Source organism: Homo sapiens, chromosome 19 (genome assembly GCF_000001405.40).
Source record: "Homo sapiens chromosome 19, GRCh38.p14 Primary Assembly".
Classification (NCBI taxonomy): domain Eukaryota; kingdom Metazoa; phylum Chordata; class Mammalia; order Primates; family Hominidae; genus Homo; species Homo sapiens.
This window is the reverse complement of record NC_000019.10, coordinates 9071351-9077869: the sequence shown is the minus strand read 5'-3', so window position 1 is coordinate 9077869 and position 6519 is coordinate 9071351. Positions and strand designations below refer to the sequence as shown.

Here is a 6519-nt window from a genome sequence, read left to right as displayed (position 1 = left end):
GTATCAGGCACCCACAGGACAAGGTGGGACACAGTGTCTACTCATCTGCAGAGTGGGGACCAGGGCAGGATTGGGAGAAGAGAGCCAGGGTAAGGGGGAAGAAACAATATTGACAGAATAATTCTGAAAGATTCTCCCCGCGGCCTGAAAACTTGGGAGGATAAACTTGGGGGGATGAATAACTCCTCCCTTCTCAGGCCCAGTCCCAAGGTGCAAGGCTACTTGCCCCAGCAGCATGCGCCAGCAAGATAGCAGAAGCAGGAAGAGAGATGGCCGGAAGACATGTACCCTGGCCGGAAGACACGTACCCTGGCCGGAAGACATCTACCCTGGCCGGAAGACATCTACCCTGGCCGGAAGACACCTACCCTGGCCGGAAGACATCTACCCTGGCCGGAAGACATCTACCCTGGCCGGAAGACAGCTACCTTGGCCGGAAGACACCTGCCCTGGCCGGAAGACACGTACCCTGGCTGGAAGACATCTACCCTGGCCGGAAGACACATGCCCCTGAAGATCAAGAGACGGGCCATCCGGGTACCATGTAGCAGTTACGTCAGACTGGGACACTTGCTGTTTACGGGAGACTATAAAACCCCTGCCCCGTCCTCACTTGGGGCTGACGCCATTTTAGGCCTCAGCCGTCTGCACCCAGGTGCACATTAAAACAGCGTGTTGCTCCACACCAGCTCATGTTGTTTGTTGGCTTGCTCTCGGGGTTCGAAACGACACAAGAGCCTTACAAATTCCATGCTTGGCTCACTCGGCATTTCCTTAACAGATGTTCATTCAGTGCCTGCATGCTTGACAAGCCCCAGGTCTGAGAATACAACGGATCAGTGAATGAACCAACATGCAAAAATCCCTGACATTCTAGTGTTAAGAGTCTACAGGTAGAATAAATAAGTAAATTTAAAAAGATGTTAGATCCCTTTTCTTTTTGAGACAGGGTCTTGCTGTGTTGACCAGGCTGGAGTGCAGGGGCACAATCATAGTAAGGGAGGACACCACCCCTCATATTATGCCCAATTTCTGCCTCCAAAGAAAGAAGAAGTAAAAACTAAATGGCAGAAATCAAATCCATAGGCAGACAGCCCGGCACCGCACCCTGGGCCTGGTTAAAGATCGACCCCTGACCTAACCGGTTATGTTATCTATATATTCCAGATACCTCAAGGAAAAGGTAATTATTTGATTCAAGACCTTCAAAACGAGGCCAGGTGTGGTGGCTCACGACTGTCATCTCAGCATTTTGGGAGGCCAATGCAGTAGGATCACTTGAGGTCAGGAGTTCGAGACCAGCCTGGGCAACACAGCAAGAACCTGTCTCTTTTGAGTTTTTTTGTTTGTTTGTTTGTTTTGTTTTTGAGATGGAGTTTTGTTCTTGTCGCCCAGGCTGGAGTGCAATGGCATAATTTCGGCTCACTGCAACCTCCACCTCCTGGGTTCAAGTGATTCTCCTGCGTCAGTCTCCTGAGTAGCTGAGACTACAAGCGTGCACCACTACGCCTGGCTAATTTTTTTGTATTTTTAATATAGACGGGGTTTCACCATTTTGGCCAGGCTGGTCTGGAACTCCGGACCTCAGGTGATCCACCCACCTCGGCCTCCTAAAGTACAGAGATTACAGGCATGAGCCACCGCACCCGGCCAAGACCCTGTCTCTGAAAATAATTTTTAAAAATTAGCCGGGTGCCTACAGTCCCAGCTACTCAGGAGGCCAAGGTTGGAGGATCGATTGGGCCCAGGAGTTGGAGGCTACAGTAAACTATGATCGCATCACTGCCCTTCACCTAGGGGCAGAGTGAGACCTTGTCTCAAAGAAGAAAGACCTTCGAAAATGAAACAGGGAACCAGAAGGAGGGCAAGGTGGCAGCCAGGGCAAAATCCCTATGATGAGGGCATGCGGCTATGTGCAAGGAATTGCTCTGAGAATAAAGATGGGGACATTCTAGCCGAGCTAAAGAATGATCCATTTACTTATCATTGTAAGAAAATTGGAGCCGTTCCCAGAGATGACTAAGACCTAGGCCTGCAAAGTGTGAAGCCTGCAGGGAGGTGGGGGAAGGAGGCGAAGAACAAAGAACGCAAGGGGGGCCGAGTGAGTCATGGGCAGTGGGAACGGCGGTGCGGTGCATGGCTGGGTGCAGATAATTACCCTCGGGTAGCAGCCAGGCCCAGGTGGGGTGGGTGTCAGCAGGAGATGGACAGAGACCTCCCTCCGCTTCAGAAAGTAAAACCGGTGTTGCCCCAGCCTGGAACTCCCCCAGGAGAGTTGGAATCCTGCCCATCCCCTCCCCTCTTCCTCCAGTCTTTTCTTCCAGCTCAGGCCTGAGCTTTAAAAATCTTGCTTCCCAGCCACGGCCAAGACACGTCCCTGCCTCCCCCAGCAGAATGCAGATTTCAGGTGTCATTCATGAACTATTTAAGGGTTTCTGGAATGTTAGATTTGCCTGCTAGTCTGGGAGTCTTGGAGGGGGAGACCAGCTGTCACACGTCCTGCCCATGGCCGTGATTGGAGCACCCGGCAAGCTTAGGAGACAATGTTCACATGGACAGACTTTCTCTCTGAATGCCTTTGTCAGAGATGTTTAAACCAGAGTGACTCCATCTTGTGTAGGGGCTGGGTAAAATAAGGCCAAGACCTGCTGGGCTGTGTTCCCAGACAATTAAGGCATTCTAAGTCACAGGATGAGATAGGAGGTCAGCACAAGATGCAGGTCATAAAGACCTTGCTGATAAAACAGGTTGCAAAAAGAAGCCAGTCAAAACCCACCAAAACCAAGATGGCCCCAATAGTGACCTCTGGTTGTCCTCACTGCTACACTCCCATCAGTGTCACTGAGTCAGGAAAACAAGGTCTGGAGGCCAAGAATATAAGGTCGATTCACACTTCACCTATGGCAGGAAGGGCGGAAGCCAAGTCAATGACTGTAACCTTACTTCATCCTCTCCATTTACATAGGGCGTACCCCAAGTAAAGGGTATTTAAACTCCGAAAAATTCTGTAATGGGGACTTTGAGCCCCTATGCTCCAGCCCACTCCCACACTGTGGAGTGTGCTTTCATTCTCAATAAATCCCTGCCTCTGGCTGGGGCGCGGTGGCTCACACCTGTAATCCCAGCACTTTGGGAGGCCGAGGCAGCCGGATCACCTGAGGTCGGGAGTTCACCTGAGGTTGGGAGTTCGAGACCAGCCTAACCAACATGGAGAAACCCCGACTCTACTAAAAAAAAATACAAAATTAGCCGGGCATGGGGGTGCATGCCTATAATCTCAGCTGCTCGGAAGGCTGAGGCACGAGAATCACTTGAACCCGGGAGGCGGAGGTTGCGGTGAGCCAAGATTGCACCATTGCACTCCAGCCTGGATGACAGAGGAAGACTCCGTCTCAAAAAAAAAAAAAAAAAAAAAAAATCCCTGCTTCTGCCTTCCTTGCTTTTGCTTTGTTGGTGTGTTTTGTCCAATTCTTTGTTTGGGATGCCAAGAACCTGGACACCTTCTACCAGTAACACCATGACAGTTTACAGATGCCATGGCGACACCAGGAAGTTACCCCAGATGCTCTAAAAAGGTGAGGCATGAATAATCCTCCCCTTCTTTAGCATATTATCAAGAAATAACCATAAAAATGGGCAACCAGCAGCCCTTGGGGCTGCTCTGTCTATGGAGTAGCCATTCTTTTATTCCTTTACTTTCCTAAAAACTTGCTTTCACTTTACAGACTTGCCTGAGATCCAAGAGCCCTCTCTTGGGGTTTGGATTGGGACCCCTTTCCTATGACACCTTGCGGCCCGGAAAGACTTTCTCTCCCAGTGCCCTGGGGTCAGGCACAGGGCCGCAGCTTTCCCATAGAGAGCCCAGGAATATTTGCATTACCAGGAGAGAGTCAGGTTTCAGCGAGAATCTGAGGAAAATCCTCCAGAGAGTATCTAAAACGAGGTGAGGAAAGGGGAAAAGGCATTTTCCTTTAGGACGAACCTGAATTCCTTAGGATACAGCTGGTGAACAATAACATCTGTAACTCCCTCCTAGGTTTTTCAAAGGGAAGGAAGGAAGGTAGAAGGCCCTCTTGAGAAATGTCTTTTTTTTTTTAAGGGACCAGGTCTCCCTCTGTTGCCCAGGTTGAAGTACAGTGGCGCTATCATAGCTGACTGCAGCCTTGAACTCCTGGGTTCAAGCAAATCCTCCCACCTCAGCCTCCCAAGTAGCTAAGACTACAGGCAAGTGATTCTCCTGCCTCAGCCTCTCAAGGATTGCAAGCACCAGCCAAAAAGCCCAGCTAATTTTTGTATTTTTTGTAGAGATGGGGTTTCACCATATTGGCCAGGCTGGTCTCGAACTCCTGACTTCAGGTGATCCACCCTCCTTGGCCTCCTAAAGTGCTGGGATTTTCCCTTAACAAGCATCTATGGGTCGGGCGCGGTGGCTCACACCTGTAATCCCAGCACTTTGGGAGGCTGAGATGGGAGGATCACTTGAGCCCAGGACTTCAAGTTCATCCTGGGGAACATATATAGTGAGATTCGGTGTCTACAGAAAACTTTTTTTTTTTTTTTTTTTTAGACAGAGTCTCACTTTGTCGTCCAGGCTGGAGTGCAGTGGCACAATCTTGGCTCATTGCAATCTCTGTCTCCCAGGTTCAAGAGATTTTCCTGTCTCAGCCTCCCAAGTAGCTGGGATTACAGGCGCGCGCCACCACCCCCAGCTAATTTTGTATTTTTGGTAGAGACGGAGTTTCACCATGTCGGCCAGGCTGGTCTCAAACTCCTGACCTCAGGTGATCCGCCCGCCTCGGCCTCCCAAAGTGCTGGGATTACAGGCATTTGCCACTGCACCCGGCTTCTACAAAAAAATTTAAAAATTAGTCAAACGTGATGGCACATACCTATATAGTCCCAGCTACTTGGGAGGCTGAGGTGGGAGGATGGCTTGAACCCAGGAGGTAGAGGCTGCAGTGAGCCACTGCACCCCAGCCTGGGCGACAGAATGAGATCCCATCTCAAACATATAACCATAAACTTTGGATGTTAAGCATTTGCTGGAAAAAAAGAAAAAAGATAAATTAAAACAAAAAAATCCCCCATAAACTAAATGCCATGATATTTAAATACAAATCAAGTAATTCTGATGAAAGTTATGGCCAAGACATTTTACATTCTTTTTTTCAAAATCAGTCTTCAAAATCTCATCTCATGTGTATTTTACATGCACCACACATCTCTTCTGGTTTTTGTTTTGTTTTGTTTTGTTTTTGAGACAGAGTCTCTCTCTGTTGCCCAGGCTGGGGTGCAGTGGCACAATCTCAGCTCACTGCAACCTCTGCCTCCCGGGTTCAAGCGATTCTCCTGCCTCAGCCTCCCAAGTAGGTGGGATTACACACATGCGACACCATGCCCAGCTAATTTTTGTATTTATAGTAGAGATGAGGTTTTGCCATGTTGGTCAGGCTGGTCTCCAACTCCTAACCTCAGGTGATCCACCCACCTTGGCCTCCCAAAGTGCTGGGATTACGGGCGTGAGCCACCGTGCCCGGCCATAATAATACTTTTTTTTTCATTAAAAAAAAAAAAACTAAAAACAAGAAGGCTGGGCACGGTGGCTCATGCCTGTAATCCCAGCACTTTGGGAAGCTGAGGTGGGCAAATCACGAGGTCAGGAGTTCGAGACCATCCTGACCAATATGGAGAAACCCCATCTGTATTAAAAATACAAAAATTAGCCAGGCGTGGTGGCACGCGCTTGTAATCCCAGCTACTCGGGAGGCTGAGGCAGGAGAATCACTTGAACCTGGGAGACGGAGCTTGCAGTGAGCTGAGATTGCGCCACTGCACTCTGGCCTGGGCGACAGAGCGAGACTCTGTCTCAAAATAAATAAATAAGAAAAAAGAAAGAAAAATGAGGCTCAGAGAGGTTAGGTGACTTCCCCAAGGTCACACAGCAGGATGGAAACCCACACCTTCCTGTCCCTTGTCCACTCCCCTAGGCTTTGTGCCTCACTGGCTTCAGGGAGAGCAGCCATGTCATAAAACAGGTTCTGCCATGGGCCCTCAGCCTGGTTGTCCATGACACCAGCACTGACTGGAGGCCTGGTTCTCTGAGCCCCAGTTTGCTTTCGTGCAAAATGACTTTGCAATAGGCTGTGCCTTCCCTCGGGTATGGTGAGAAATTAAATTGTTAAATAAATTCCCAGGAATAAGGACAGGAAGTGTAGAGTTTCTTTCTTTTCCTTCTTTTTTTTTTTTTTTTTTTTTTTTTTTTTTTCTGAGATGGGGTTTCACTCTTGTTGCCCAGGCTGGAGTGCAATGGTGCGATCTTGACTGGTCTGGTCTGATGGTCTGGGTGGTGTCAGCTGATCCATCGAGTGCAGGGTCTGCAAACTATCTCAAGCACTGATTTTAGGTTTTACAATAGTGATGCTACCTCTGGGAGCAATCTGGGGACGTTCAGACTCTTGGACCCAGAGGCTGCATGACTCCTAAACTGTAATTTCTAATCTTGTAGCTAATTTGTTAGTC

General features: G+C 49.1%; 1 annotated feature.

Annotated features, from left to right (window-relative positions):
* Window positions 2882-3769: an enhancer, noted in NCBI's record as "H3K27ac-H3K4me1 hESC enhancer chr19:9184777-9185664 (GRCh37/hg19 assembly coordinates)". NCBI's record gives its function as "activates a minimal SCP1, AML or CMV promoter by ChIP-STARR-seq in primed H9 embryonic stem cells {active_cell/tissue: H9 hESC(primed)}" and the evidence as "EXISTENCE:reporter gene assay evidence [ECO:0000049][PMID:30033119]".